The 16099-nt window shown below is 31.3% G+C and overlaps 1 protein-coding gene across 5 annotated transcripts; it reads left to right on the plus strand.

Moving 5' to 3' along the window:
• The first annotated feature begins 374 nt into the window (after positions 1-374).
• CSN1S1 (casein alpha s1) lies at positions 375-15881 on the plus strand. 5 transcript variants are annotated; one of them, NM_001890.2, is made up of 16 exons: positions 375-424; positions 1851-1913; positions 3519-3551; positions 3997-4017; positions 5233-5256; positions 5763-5786; positions 5873-5914; positions 6428-6451; positions 7107-7130; positions 8483-8515; positions 9328-9351; positions 10326-10367; positions 11353-11370; positions 11843-11884; positions 14157-14311; positions 15503-15881. In NM_001890.2, coding segments are annotated over exons 2-16 (558 nt in total). In that variant the 5' UTR covers positions 375-424; positions 1851-1862; the 3' UTR covers positions 15504-15881. The 5 variants fall into 5 exon arrangements, with proteins under 5 accessions (NP_001881.1, XP_006714152.1, XP_006714153.1 ...); XM_006714089.3 differs by having other exon boundaries at positions 5876-5914; XM_006714090.3 differs by lacking the exon at positions 6428-6451.
• Positions 15882-16099: the final 218 nt, after the last annotated feature.

The raw sequence follows: 16099 nt of genomic DNA on the forward strand, positions 1-16099 counted from the left end.
CCTATTTTGTCCCCAGGATTTCCATTATAGGAATTGAATTTTTCAAAAGATATACAGAGAATTTTATTAATATGTTCCTGTCAAATTATCCCTTCAACATAAAATCATGTTTTTATAATAGCCATAAATTTGGAAATTTTTGTATTTTAATTTGCAATAATGCCACTTTATTTCTTGTGTAATCTGTTATCATAGCATGAATCACTCCCTGTTGAAAATTCTCAGAATTTCCTGGGAAAGGAATTGGACAGAAAATTAGTTTCCTATTTGGGAGAATTCTTAGAATTTAAATAAACCTATTGGTTGAACTGAAACCACAAAATTAGCATTTTCTAATTACCACATTTAAATAGCGTAAAGCAAAGAGATCGGCCATCATCTTGGTCATCAACACAACTTGCTTCTCTCCAGACTTGGGCTTAAGGTACTGCGTTTACATACAGCAAAATTGCTATCATTTTACATTATCTAATCTCTTTCTTCCACTGTTTACTAAGTATATTTGTACCATTTCCATATGTTTGCAAATATTAAAACTTCTTATGATTTTCTGGCACCTTAAAAATCCTTTTGCAAATTCTGATACCATTTTACAGCTTTAGGTGATGAATCAATACAGTTTTATAAAAATACCAAATCATTTTTTGATAATTTTGTAACTAAAATATATTTTTAAAGTTGATACATAATTTCAGTAGAGGCTTGGGGTAAGCTAATTTAAATTATTTTTACCTAATTCTATGAGAAGTTGTTATGCAAATAATTTCTTATTTTTGTAATTACCATAGCAAAAACCATTTCTAGCAGAATAGTTCAAGGCCATTTTTGTTTCATGTCATTTGGGCAACAAAATTAACTCTACAATGTGAATATCTATTATAGATAATTAGCTATTGATGGCTACTTTGTAATGATTATTAAATTTAGATATTCAGAAAGACACAAATAGTAAATTTATTTGGGTTCAAAAATATGCCTTTTTTATTAACACATTTAGATTCTAAAATTTGTAGACTGAAGCAATATATATAAATGTCAGCATTTGTATGTTGATTAAGGTGTGAACAAATAGTATGTGTGACCTGATTTTTTTTCTAATGATTTCTCTGGAAACCATTTTCCCAGTACATGTGGATGTCCATATTTCGGGGTTCTTGCAATTTAATGAAACTCTGGAAATCAAATATAAGACATGTCAATATTTTGATTCTATCCAATTCAATCATCTTTATATATTTATGTCATGAATATTCCAATGTAGCAAAACACGAAGTTATGGCTAGATTCTTTATTTAAAAATTGAAAGAGATCAATAGCTTTTACATAACGTGCAGACAGGATTTTTCATGAAGACTCTAAAAGAAAAGAATGCTCTCAAATAGATTTAAAAGAGAAGCTCATTTTCAAAACTTTTCAATAAAATTAAATTCCAGTTCTCAGTGGATTTAACTTTATTGCCCACTTTAGAAAATCTGATTTGTCATCTAGGAGGAAAAGTGTTTTCTTTTTTCAATTGTATTTCAATATTAGCACTTCTTTATTTCTCTAAGCCATATTATTACATTAAGAACAAAATGTTATGTTTTAAAGTGTTAGTGAAGAAAAATGTTTGTAAGAAATTAGTATTTCTAAATAATATAAGAACTAAGAAAAATAACTAGAATGGTAAACATTGATATTGAGTAGTAAAGTTTTTAAAATCTTAAGTTTATAAAAATTCACATTACAGCTCCTCAAATCAGCCTACTTTTATCATAATTTGCTCCTTTGTTGAAAAATCAAGAATTTTTTTCAGGAAACAAATTTAACGTAATAATATCTAACTCTTTCTTTTTTGTTCTCTTACATAGGCTCTGATAACCATGAGGCTTCTCATTCTCACCTGTCTTGTGGCTGTTGCTCTTGCCAGGCCTGTAAGTTCAGTAGAGAATTTAGAAAGTCTTAGACTCTTGTTAGAAATGACCTGACACTTCATCAAACATAGGATACCCAGAGAAATAATCTTAAAGCACTGGATGATCTCTAATTGGCCTCTGAAGTCTTGACAATAGAAATGCAGTAATGCTTCACATTTTCATCATTATTGCATAGTCCACTGAGAGCCTTAACTCTGAATAAAATGTCTGACTTGAATTATAAGCACCCCACAATAAAAAAGAGCTAAAAATTTAAAAGTAAGAAAAAGAATAAGGTAATGCACAACATAATAAATAGCAACAAACAATGTGATTAGGCCTGTTCCTTGAGTCTACTACAAAATTCTCATATTTCTAAAAATGTAATAGTTGTCCAACATTTCTTTACCAAATATAACACAAAGCCACATGTTCCAATGTATCCTACTTTTGGAATCAAAATCAAACCCTTATTTGAGATGGCTTGTGTCAACTTTTCTTCCCCCAAGAAGGGATAGAAAACTAGGGTGATTCAGCTAATTGAGTGATCAATTTATTGTGGTCACTGTAGACAATGAAACTAGATAATGTGAATTAAAATTACCTTTCTTCTCAAAAAGAGTGTTTATATCAATTAGATAAGTATGTGAACCAAAAAGTTTTCTCTGTTCTCTCCTGTTATGTGTAGTTAATGAATGAGAAGAATAAACAGGAATCACCTGACTGGAAAAAACATCAGTTTAGAGGGATGATAAGGGATATTTGGACACTGAAATTATCTCATACAGAAGAAAAATTTCTGAAATGCAGATATAGCCTGTCATTTACACTGACAGACTTGTTCTCTAAATTCTCCTTTGGAAAGTGCAGAATCAGGAATTGTCAACTTCTGAACCAATAGTCTTTGTTTATGCTATAAACTAAGCATCAATAGAAAGAAATCTCTGCTTGCAAGTTACCAAAACAATGATAAAACTTCCTCAGGAATGAACTGTCTGAGCAGTTCTTATCTTGTCATTCTACCAGGAAGTGGGGAAAAGCAGCCCAGAAAATAGATGTTACACTTTTATTCCAAAGCAAACAATAGGGTTCTTTATTTGTTTATGTCACTGTTTAACGTGGTCTTGTCTCCACACTCAAAATGCAGAATGAGATCAATTTTCGTATAATTTAAGTGATGATAAAAATAAAACCCAGAAAGCGTTTGAATTAGGAAATTATATTTTGCCCAACATTTTTTATACTAGTTTAAAATCATCTTTAGAACTATGGTGTAATATATATAGTTCAGAAAACTAAATAAATTGTTTATTATTCTGGATTCAAACTAACCCAGAATTTTTACTTTTTTAAAGATGTTTTACATAGTTTTCTCAACTACCAGCCATAATCTAAAGAAAGGAAATGATTATTTTCCTTTGATATTTGTCTAAAAATAATTATGATTTCTTTTTTTTTCCCTGTAGTCCCAGAGAAACTTGGTCTCTGACAAATATTGCTATTAAAACACATACCTTTTGAAAATGGCAGTGTCAAAAATCATCGTATTATATGTGTATTATTATATTGTTATTGTCATTTTAGTTACTTTTTGTTTTACAATTCTTGCATTGTTTTTCACAGAAACTTCCTCTTAGATACCCAGAACGCCTTCAGGTAAATATTCTATTCTGCATTCCAAGAACTCACTCTAATTGTGAAGCACAAACTCCAAATGTGCGCTTCCCTTCTCTATGAAACAGCCTGCTTCACTTTTGCTGACGCATCATTTCTTTAGTTCAAGCACTGTCAGATGGTATTTGCTCTCACAAAACTTAGAGGACGGCACACTGACTTAGATAAACATTTATGTTAATAAAAATCTTATTTTTATTCCAGAGAAATAGTTAATTAAACAGAATGTGTTAACATGTTTATTTTAATGTATTCTTGCTTTTTTCAATGTTACACATATTCAAGCATGTGATTTACAGTTTGGTCTCATTTGATATGTTGAATCTTGAATTAGTTACCTCTACCACAACTTTCTATGAGCACAACTAATCCTACATTCTGTCCTGCAATTGGAATAATACCATTTAAAAATTATTATTTTTTACAGAATCCATCAGAGAGCAGTGAGGTAAGCTCTGTTTATGGGGAGTCAGGATTCTCTCTTCCTTTTGCTCTCTTTCAGTTAGCTGTCATGCATGTTGAATGTCTTCTTCTTTACAATTTTTATTTCCCTTCAAATGCATCCAACAACTCAAGTACCTGGATTGCTCTCTAAATTCTGTTTTGATGAAATTCCTATTTGACTTCTTAGCCATTTTGGTAAGCATAGACTTATTAAATTTACTGGCCTGGTGAAGAAGGAACTAATTAAGGTGTAGGTGTTCTTTAGATTGTAAAATTAGATCATAAAACTAAAACTAATTATTTGTTCTTCTAGCTAAGAAATCTGTTGGTTTACCGAATTAAATGGAGCATTTGTGTTCAAATGAGAATAATGTGGTTTTTTGGTGTTTTTATTATTTTTATAATTCACAATTTAATTTCAATAAGAAATTATCAAAGAAGGAAAGTTTCTCAGGCTTCTTCTGGTAAGTGTTATCCACTTATTCTTAAAAGAAGAAACATACTTTTATGGGAAAAATTATTTAATTTTTGTTTATAAAAATGTTTTTTTCACTGGGTGCTGTGGCTCACACCTGTAATCCCAACACTTTGGGAGGCTGAGGCAGGAGGATTGCTTGAGCCCAGGAATTCGAGATGAGCCTAAGCAACATAACCAAACCCCGTCTCTACAAAAAAAATTTTGAAAAAAAAAAAAATAGTCGGATGTGGCGGCATGCACTTGTGGTTCCAGCTACTTGGGAAGCTGAGGTGTGAGGGTCACTTGAGCATGGGCGGTTAAAGCTGCAATGAGTCGTGATAGCACAAGGGCAACAGAGCAAGAAATTGCCTTAAAACAAAGTGGTTTTTTGTTGTTGTTGTTGTTTAACCTAAGTTAATCAACCCTTCCCTTCATTCAGTCATCCAAACACCCAGAAAGAATATAAAAACAAGATATGTATATGTTAAAGAGCTGCTTTATATTTTAATTTGTACCTAAACGTTTGCCTCTCCAAAACACTCTGCTCTCCTTTCCGTGACGTATGTAGAGGTTTACAATTTCCTCACTCCTTATAATAGAATGCTCTTAACTATAAATAATACATATGTGTCACATTCTCTATAATTTTTGACTTAATTGTTGAATAGAAGAACATAACGTTTTAATTCAAGGACATTATCTAAATGATTTGATAGATAACTCAACTATGAATGAATTTTAACATAACTTTTTTTTTTGTAGCCTATACCATTAGAATCAAGAGAGGTAAGAATGACTCCACAGAATTTACCGTGCAATTAACAAAGAGAAGTAAGTGTTAAGATCAGGAGACTCAGAACAGTGCCTAAAACAAAGTGAAAGTCAAGGATAACAAATTTGAGTGGAACAAACTTAAAAATATTGTTAAATGCACATTTACATACTAGCCTTACACAAAGAAGGAGTAGGGAAACACCACTTAAAGGTTAGAAATGATACAATAAGGAATATTAGTTCATTTGTGAAAAATAAATTTATTTTTAAATTTGTATCAGCACTAATGAATTCTGCTGAGAATTCTGAAGACTACTGATTTGATTGACTTAATTGTGTAGTGAGAAAGACCACTTAAGGTTAGAAATGATATAATAAGGAATATTAGTTCATTCAGGAAAAATGGATTTATTTTTAAATTTGTATCAGCACGATGTGAAGTACAGTTTCTCATAGATTTCCACTCATGTATGTCTTGTTTCACTAATATTGTTTATGTTTTCTTTTTTATCCCTAAGGAATACATGAATGGTATGAACAGGGTAAGAAACATCAATGAAATTTAAATTATGTTAAAAGTTTGTTTTCATGAAAACATATTTTACAAGGTACACTTTATTGATTTTAGCAGAGAAACATTCTGAGAGAAAAACAGACTGATGAAATCAAGGTACCAAAGTTTTTCTTGAAAGAGTATGGCAAAAGTATATATTCTTGTAGTAGAAAAAAAGTTTTCCTTTAGGAAAAAAAAGCATTTTTCTATGGTTTTGTCCTTTCCTTGAACTTTTCACTCATACATTTGTAGTGACTAATGGAGTCTGCTGAGAATTCTGAAGAAAATGATTTCATTGACTTAATTGTGCAACTGTGATGAAACAAGGCATTAGTGTGAATGAATGAAATAACAAATAAACAAATAAATGCAATTATGTATTCACATTTATCACCAAAATTAAAGGAATGCTTTATCAAGGGTATTATATGAAGTAATACAATATCTGGCTCAAGAATATTTACATAGTCATACTCAATTATTTTCTTTAACCATAACATCTTTGATTTGGATTGTCTACTAGTTTTCTAGTAGAATTGGTATTGAGAGAGCAGGTGCTCAAACTTTATGAGATAAAATATATATCTTCTTAACAATCTGTCATACCTAACTGATTGACTGTCTTGGCAGGATACTAGGAATGAGTCTACTCAGGTGAGACCCTTTGTTTTAAAATTATTAAACCAATATGAGGAAAAGAAACAATACATATTTCCCCAAATAAATTATTATTTTAAATAAAAACTATGGCAGATAACTCTAATTCAAAGAAAGAAAAGAAATAGTGTATCATACATTGGCCAGAATAACCAAACCAACACAAATATTTTAAATTTAAATTCTATGGATAATGTCACTGATCTCTGTATTGCTGTAGTCGTGAAAACTGAGCAAAACATACTAGATGGAGCAAGTTCTTTTGCTTAGGTATTTACACACCATTAAATCAGTGCTCTCCTTTAGTCCAGTTGTATTTACTGCATGAGCTTCAGTGCAGTGTCCTGCTCAGAGTCCAGAAGCCAAGTTTTAAAAGAGGGAAAGCAAAAAGTCATGCTGGATAAAGGAAAATGTAAACTTGTTTTCACTGATTTGCTACAATATAGAAGAATCCGAAACGTTTTATTTAAACTTCAAAATGCAGATTCATTTGGCTCAGAGATAAAGTAGGCAGTTTTTTTAGTTTTTCTTATTACTTTTATATTGTCTCAGTTTTCTATTTTCTTTGACATCCATTTTATTTGGTAATCATTACTTTTGTATTTGACTATTTGTCATGAAAAATGAAATTGATTATTTTTTCTTTCTTAAGAACTGTGTTGTGGCAGAGCCTGAGGTAAGACCCATTCATTCTAGTGAACTCTACACTTACGTATCAAACATAGTATATGCAGCATGCTTCATTTTAAAAAGACTGTCTTCTGAAATTAAGCAAAATAAGAAACTGAATTTTAAAATGTTAACATTTTAATTTTAAATTAATCCTATTCTAATTTTAACTTATTGAACTTCTCAAACAGGAATATTATACTCAAGAATGTACAATGTTGTGCTAGATAAAGTTGAAATTGGAAGACGGAATTTAAGCCATTTAAATAATAATTAGTAAAAAAATGCTTATTCATTAAAATATAAAATAAAAACAAAAGGTGCATGGATGTTTAAAATGAGAGTCCCACAGAACACTGACTCTGACATCCCAGGGCATGAGATTACTTTTTTATTTTAGATACAAGTGCATGTATGTATGTAAGATTTTTACATGAGTATGTTAGACACAGGTAGTGAGCATACTACCCAACAGGTATAGGTTGGTGCAAAAGTTATTGTGCTTTTTACCATTAAAAATAATGGCAATACTATTAGGTTGGTGCAAAAGTAATTGCAGTTTTTACAGCGTAATGGCAAAAACCTCAATTACTTTTGCACCAACTTAATAGTTTGTCAACCCACGCCCCTCTCCCTCTCCTTGGGCAGAAAGAATCTATGGCAGCAATTACCTAGGATCAGTGAGCTATACTACCTACTCTACAATTATATTTTTTTAAATGCTGACTTATTACATATGGTTAATCAACCATCCCCAGAGATAAAGTCTGTTGAATATTAAAATTAATCTGTTAAAATATGTATGTATTTGGAAAGTAAAATTATATGTATATATAAATATAAACATAAATGACTTTGAAGAAAAAGTAAATATTTCAAAGTAAATATTTTAAAATCTAATGTAATTTTAATTTCATCTTAAGATTGTGCATTGTATTTAATGTTTCCATTTTATTCACATCAAAGAAGCCCCAAGGACAGATGAGAACAGATGTTTAACCCAGGGTTCTGGGTACCCAGCTAAATATGGTTCTTTCTTAGAGGTTTCATTTTTGTCACAAAAATCTATGCAAATTTTGCATTCTACTCAATGATAAACTTGTGTTTGTTTTCCTAAATTAAAAACAATTGTTTTTAAGTTTTTATGTTCCCAGATAAGTTATTAAACCTACCACCATAATTTTTCAAGTAAAATTCACACTCCAAGAAAATACAATGTAGTACGCCTGAATTTTTCCATACCACTTATTCAGTTATAATGTTACCATGGTAAGCATTTCACCATGATGACATGGAACTAGTTTCCTTCAAATTCTAAAAATCCCAGGGGATAATTAACACTAGATTTCTTTCTTTTAGAAGATGGAATCCAGCATCAGTTCATCGAGTGAGGTAAATAATTTTGATATTAATTCTGTGTCCCAACTAATTTAAAAAATTATGAAAACTTGTACCGTGAGGATTACATATCCCTTAAGGTCTCATTGTACAAGGCAGTGTATATGTGGCACTATTCTAGTTTTAGTATGTGAGTAGCTATCCAAAAGAAGTAAGAAAGCAATTGTTTGTCAGAGACAAATTGACAAAATTATTTCTGGGCAAACAATCTTATCTGGCCATCTGTGATGTCCAAATTATTTTTTTAACCAATTACTTTGTCCTTCGCAGATTTTGTTAAAACTCAATCTTATCATTAAAAATTCTAACAATTACCATGCTTATAAACCCATGAAGTAAACATTTCATAAACCATTTAGAATTTAACCAATTCTAGATTAATCAGACACTGGACTCCTCCAGCTACTCTCCACTCTTTGCCCTGTGTTAATCTTGAGAAAAAAAGTCAGCCTACAAAAAAAGTGGTGCGGTTTTTCCTTTGACTTTGGAAGAAGACCTTCATGCAAGTTACCAAAATAAAACCAACTCACTTAAGTGGGGTTTCTGTTAATTGAATAAAAATCATTACTTCACATCCACCCCCAGCATTCGGAGCAATGTAGTGGTTAAAGCAGTGAGAAAAGGAAAAGCAATGTGATTATAATATGTGGTTCAAATTATTAATCTTGTCTCAGTTTTTTGGGAATTTATCACTAAAATCAATTCACTGCAATTATTTAGTAATAGTTTTGTTGATTCATATTTTAACTTTAAATGTAAATTAATGTCGTGAAATTAAAACTATGCATGTTTTAATTTTTTTAAAGGAAATGTCTCTCAGTAAGTGTGCGGTAAGACATATTTGCTAAATTTAAAATATATTAATATTTTCCAGGATAATTAAAATGCACTTACTTTCACACACACACACACACACACACACACACACACACACACGGGAAAACATGCTATACCAATGCCATCTGGAAAGGTGGCATTAAAGTTTTATCAAAGGCAAATAAATATACCAAGGAATGAGTGAGAATGTTGTATTAATAAATTATTTATCCTTTTCAATATCTGCTAGACTTTATTGTAACTAGTCTGATGGGATCTAGATGTTTTCTTATTCCCCCTCTAAAAATAAAGCTAGCGACTTTTTTTATCCCAGTTATCTAATTCACAGTTTTAGTTGAATATTTGTAATTTATAGTCTCCTTTTGAATCTACATAACATAGTATTTAAGTGGCAGTCTATAGATCTGGTTACACTTGAGTTCAACTCATAGCTCTACCTTTTACACGTATGTGATGTTGAACCGTTCACTTTCCCAGTATAAGTCTATAACTTAATCCTAAAATGGCAATAATAATAAATATTAGATGATGTAAAGCAATTAATGTAATCCATGACACAGAGCAAACTGTCAATAAATGTTGGATAGCATTTGAAAAATTATTTTTCCCTGTCCATTTAATATTCTAATATAATTTGGCCAAAGTTAAATCTTCACAGTCAGAAAACAAAAAAACAGTTTTAACTTTCTTAATAATTCTGATATATTGTAACTAAAATTGGCTGTACTAATTTATATCAGACAGAATTATAATTTAAATTCAAGAAGTTGCTTTTTAAAATGTTTTTAAAAGGGAATAATGGAAGAGATCCAAATTATTTGGGGTAGAAATGGCACTCAGGTGTAATAGTTCCTCATTCTCTACCCTTGGGAAAGAGCATTGTTAGATTCTTGTTTCATCATATGAAAATGATGGGGTTGGACTGAATGACATCCAAGCAATTGAGAATATTTTTCTTTTTAAATAGGAACAGTTTTGTAGACTGAACGAATACAACCAACTTCAGCTGGTAATATTTTATTCATTATAATACAAAATCATATTCTACTATAGAATTAAAACATATTAAATTTTAAATTGGGGCCATTTCTAAATATATTTTTATTTTTCTTAAGAAATTATTTATTCTAGCCTTGACCAATAATTGGCAAGTTATTTGTATGATTGCCGGCATATTTGCGGGCAATGCTCATTCTCTTTATTCCTGGACTAAAGTTCTATATATTATCCATACTTACTAACCAGGGAGAAAGTGACTACATTCTACTGCAAATCCACTTTTAACCTCCCTGATGATACATTATGTCCTGGTTGAGAATTTCACAAATATGCTTACCTGTGAAATCACAGATATGTCAAATAAACTTTCCATTTAAGGAAACAGGATAGATTCTGGGAAAGGAAACAGGAATGCTAAACATCAGATTTGCTTCTGTCAAAACTCACATAATCTGCTTAACACTGGTTTTGACCCTTTTGAGTAACATAAAAGTCTTTCTTTTGGGAGGACAATAAAAACCTTTCAGTAACTACAAACAAATTTGACGTAATGAAGGCTTTGGGAAATGCTTGGTTTTAGTTCAGCAAAATTGCATGCTAGCATTTTTAATCGTTATCAATAGAGGAAGATGAAAATCAGTAATGAATTTAATATGGACCCTAATTGTTACTCTAGTTTCCATTTTCAGGTAACTTGTGTTTAAAATAGTATCCAAATAAATTTAAACACATTAGTACCCCAATAGAATTCATCATTATTGATCTAGAAAATTACCTGAATAATATATTTTAGTACCATAGATATGATATGGCTAGTCTGTAACCTCCACAACTGTTAGAACCTACTTGTCCTCCTGAGAGATTTTGTAGTATTTTACAGTGGTATCTCCAGTATTTAACATTGTCCCTGAACAAATGAAGGTACCCAGCAAATGTTTCTTATTAATGAGTAAATAAAATGAAAATACTAAAACAGAATGTTTTCTCCTCCCTAGCAAGCTGCCCATGCCCAGGTGAGATTATTTATTAAATCTAAAATATTTTAGTATTTCCTTCATGTGTTATGTTTTTATAATGCATGATTCTCTTTTAACATAAATATATTCTGAGAGAGTGTTCTACCAACACTATCTGATAATATTTTACTTAAAAGTCACAAAAGACAAAATTTAAATAATTAATAAATAGCCATAAATAGAAAAATATGTAGTCCTAGAGAAATGGTAGGTTATTATTTTTCCTCAGAGTATGAACCTTACTAATTGTTTATTTTTCCAAACTATAGTGAGCTTAGCCTTTAGCTAAAATTTTTTTCTGACATTAGAAAATAAAAAGTGTTTTGACATTTTTTGCTAACTGTGGCATAGAATACAGTCTATTCTAAATTTCATGAATGATGTTATGTATACTTCTGGTGCAATGTAAGATAAATGTGTTGTACCAGAAGATGTCTAAGTAATTTAGAATGTGTTTCCTTTTATGCAGGAGCAAATTCGCAGAATGAATGAAAACAGCCATGTCCAAGTGGTAATATTTTGCTTAATATATTACAAAACGATAATATTTTGTTAAGCTTAAATATGTTTGCTCTTAAATAGCCCCCTACTCTTGAAGAGATTTTTTTCTTCTCAAACATTTCTCACTCCCAACTTAAATCTCAGTTCTGACAACTTCTAAGCATATGACCTTGAGCACATTGTGTATTCTCTTGGACCTTTGGTTTCTCATTTGTGGAGAAAAACAATATGTGTCTATCAATTTATTTCCTCCTCCAAAACTCCCATGTCTTGATGTTTACAGTGACATATTGTGTCTTCACATTTAAAGATAATAACTGTATGTTTAATTCAGTGTCTCTTGTCCATTAATGATTCAATTTATGTACAACATGCTAATTAAAAAAAAAAAAACCATGTAAAGAAAGCCATGGAACATCCTCCACAACTAGAGAAAGAAACTTTTAGTTCCTCACAGTACATCAAATTTTACCCTCAGTTTTTTTTTTCTGAAATTCTGTAATCACTGTCACTGGCTAAAGTAAAAAGAAAATAAAGGCAAGTATTCTCTTCATTTGGGCCCCAAAGAATTACTTGGTCTTAATTTTCCATGTGAATATTATTATTATTATTATTATTATTATTATTATTATTATTAGACAGATTCTCACACTGTTGCTGAGCTGGAGTGCAGTGGCACAATCTCAGGTCCCTGCAACCTCTGCCTCCCGGGTTCTAGTGATGCTCATACCTTAGCATCCCAAAGTAGGTGGGATTACCGGCAAGCATCACGATGCCCAGCTAATTTTTGTATTTTTAGTAGAGACAGGTTTTCACCATGTTGGCCAGGTTGGTCTCAAACTCCTGACCTCAAGTGATCCACTCGCCTTGGCCTCCCAAAGTGCTGGGATTACAGGCATGACCTATTACTTCAATGTAATTATTTTTAAAAAAAGTGTGACAACTATATATGCATTTTTCATATTAATGAGGGTTTGGAGTAGCAATAATTTGCCCTATCCTCATGTTCAGTTGGATGTAAATTACTAAACTAGTGCCTTAGTTTGTTTTGTGCTGCTATAGCGGAATACCACAGACTAAGTAATTTATAATGAACAGAAATTTATTTGGTTAACAGTTGTGGAGGCTGTAAGTCCAAGATTGAGAGGCCAACATCTGTCAAGCTAGGGCCTTCTTGTTTCATCATCCCATGGTGGAAGAGCAAAAAAGAATACACAAGAGAGGGTCAAACTCAGTCAAAACAAACTCACCCTTGCAACAGTAAGCCCACTCCTATGATAATAGCATTAATTAATTTGTGAGAGCAGAGCCCTTGTGAACTAATCAGTTCTTCAAAGTCCCACTTCTCATCACTGTTGTATTGCATGTTAAGTTTCCAACATATGATCTTTGGGAAACACATTCAAATCATAGACACTTATTTCTGTCTGTCTGTCTGTCTCTCTCTCTCTCTCTCTCGGTCTCTCTATTAAGAACAGGGCCAGTTCTATCTTGAGGTAGTTACCTTATTTTATCTTAAAAAATTCTAGATTTTATATTTGTTTTAATCTTTACATAGGCAGGTGTCCACAGCAACATTTTAAATGCTTTTAAAGATTTTCCTAATTCCAGCAAAGAACTTCCACCTGAATATGTAGAGAATTATATGCAACTGTTTCTATGAACAATGCAATTATTAGTACACAGAAAAAATTAAGTGTAATCTCATTATGAATCAACAGAAGCAACTATTCCAAAATTATAGAAAGGAAAATAGTTTTGGCCCCAAAACTCTAGTGTTTGAAAAGAACAGTGGCCTAGGAATTAAAGAATTATTATTTTTTTCTGTTCCTGGCATTTCTGAAAGACAGCTATGTTGACCCTGGGTGCGGGGCCTGTACTTTGACCCCAGTGGCTTTAAGGAAAATTATATATCTAAATGGCAAAAATTCCCTTGAGTTTATAACGTAAATAATAATGAAATGTATGCTACTACTCTCTTCTGGGCTCTGATAAGTGGACCTGTGAGTAATGTGGGTTCTTGGAGTTCAGTTTTAAATAATGTCCTTAAAAAAAGTGATTTATTCATTGCCCCTCAGGTGTCTTAAAAGAGCACCTTCTGAAAGTTTCTTCAACATGGTTCACCATAGAAGATTTTGATTTATTCTTTTCCCTCACAGAGTAATCATTTTTTATCATGCTAACAGGCATCTTGGAAATGAATGAGATGTATTGATATTTTTCAGGGACTGAAAAAAGCAATTGCTCATACACTGTTGCTTTTCAAATGTTTTTCCCTCTAGCCTTTCCAGCAGCTCAACCAACTTGCTGCCTACCCCTATGCTGTTTGGTACTATCCACAAATCATGCAGTATGTTCCTTTCCCACCGTTTTCCGACATCTCCAATCCCACTGCTCATGAAAATTATGAAAAAAATAACGTCATGCTACAGTGGTGGTAAGTTCATTTAAATTACTACATCTTGATGTTCTACCAAAGGAATGAAATAGAATAGCTTGGAGAGGATACCATAAGAACAGATTTAGATTAAACATGGCAAATCAATGCCTACTGCAAAGGACTAATATGTTCTGAAATGGAAAATTGATAATATTTTGTGGGACCTGTGGCTAATATTATCAATTTCTTAGTAACATGTGGAACAGTATTATCTATTCTATAAGTGATATTTATTCTAATGAGCCTGGAAAATAACTTCTTTTCAAGTTAAAAATATAAAGACTTCTGACATGTAATTCAACATTATCCTTTTTGCGCTTTTACTAATCTTTAAATGACTTCCTTCTGGTTATACCTATGATAAGTATAAAAACACTGGGTAGGTAATATAGCACATATTTTGGTGTTCAGTAGTCCTAAATTCAAATCCTAACCTTTTTGCTTACTTGAAATTTTATAATAATCCTTATTTATTATAATCCTGAGGGTGATCAAATATAGTAATCTCTGTTAAGTATATTGTGGGCAAAATAAACACTGAATAGGTAAAAGTCCATTTTTTCCTGATTTAGCAAATCTTTATTAATGACTTCCTTTAATCACATGATTTTAACAATTTTCATTATTTCGGAAGAATTAAGTAAATTCTCAAGGAACTCCACAGTTAGGGCCCTTGGTAAGTTTGGAAATTATGTATCTAACCATTGATCTTATTTTTTATGGTCAAATAGACATCCTTAACAAGTCACATAGATAAATAAAGTGTTAGTCTGTCAACACCACTTAAAAAGGTCTATAAGTTCAATTATTTTCACCACTACATTGGAGCTTCCAATTGTGTGTTTGTGTGTGTGTGTTTCCTTTTCCAGTGGTGGAAACTTCCCTTCTAATACATTAAACCAAGGAAAATGACCAAATTTTAACCTATGTGAAAGCCTTTTATTCTAATTGCATTGCCATATCTTCAGTAATACCACAAAACAAAATACAATTTAGTAATAAAAATGTCTTTGTAGCTTAAAAACCAAGAGCAATGGATAGGTATGTCAGTAACAGGAAAGCATAAATAACATTGTGAGCTTGTCTAATACGAAGAGAAAATAGTAAAACGTGTTCTACCATAAGAGCTTTTCTTTTCTTCAAAAATATTTAATATAACTCACCACATATTTCTATTTCTATTTACAGATATGATTGAAAATTTCATTCTCTGAATTTCTCCTCTCAAGGAAAACCATCTTATCTGAAGACTGGACTGTTGTTTTAGAATAGTAAAATCCCATATTGAAGGAAATTGTTCTTTTTGAGTTATCTACTTAATAGCATATCATTCTTTTTCTTAAGCTAAATTTTCCTAGAGAGTTTATTGTCTAAATTTCAGTTGTGTCTTGCCATATGGAGGGCACCTAATCAGAGGGTATTAAAGTGTTTACTAAGTTTTCTAGTGGACATTTTGTTTAAAAAGTCTTTGAATTGCCAGTTCTGTAAGTGCCATCAATTAAAATAGTTTTGTGCAGTGACAGAGATTTTCTTTTTTCTTTTCAATAAATTACACTTTAAGGCAAAAGCCGTATTTTCCGTCATCATTCCATTCAACAGTATTTACATAATCATCTTAAGAGTCTTTGCATGTAACATTTGTTTTCATTAAATTAAAATCCATATTTTCTGTCATTATTCCATCACCAGTATTTACATAATCCTATTAATAGTGTCATGTATGTAACATTTTGTTTTCATTAATTTTTTATGACAATTTCAATCACATTTTAGTGAAGAATTGTA

The sequence above is a fragment of the Homo sapiens genome, chromosome 4 (assembly GCF_000001405.40).
Source record: "Homo sapiens chromosome 4, GRCh38.p14 Primary Assembly".
NCBI classification, from domain to species: Eukaryota; Metazoa; Chordata; class Mammalia; order Primates; family Hominidae; genus Homo; species Homo sapiens.

Excerpts from the sequence above, each read along its gene's own strand:
- CSN1S1 (NM_001890.2), top strand. The coding sequence starts at position 1,863 with ATGAGGCTTCTCATTCTCACCTGTCTTGTGGCTGTTGCTCTTGCCAGG. Across the intron at positions 5,257-5,762 it reads TACCATTAGAATCAAGAGAG|GAATACATGAATGGTATGAA; the intron begins GTAAGAATGACT and ends TTTATCCCTAAG. Across the intron at positions 7,131-8,482 it reads GTGTTGTGGCAGAGCCTGAG|AAGATGGAATCCAGCATCAG; the intron begins GTAAGACCCATT and ends TCTTTCTTTTAG.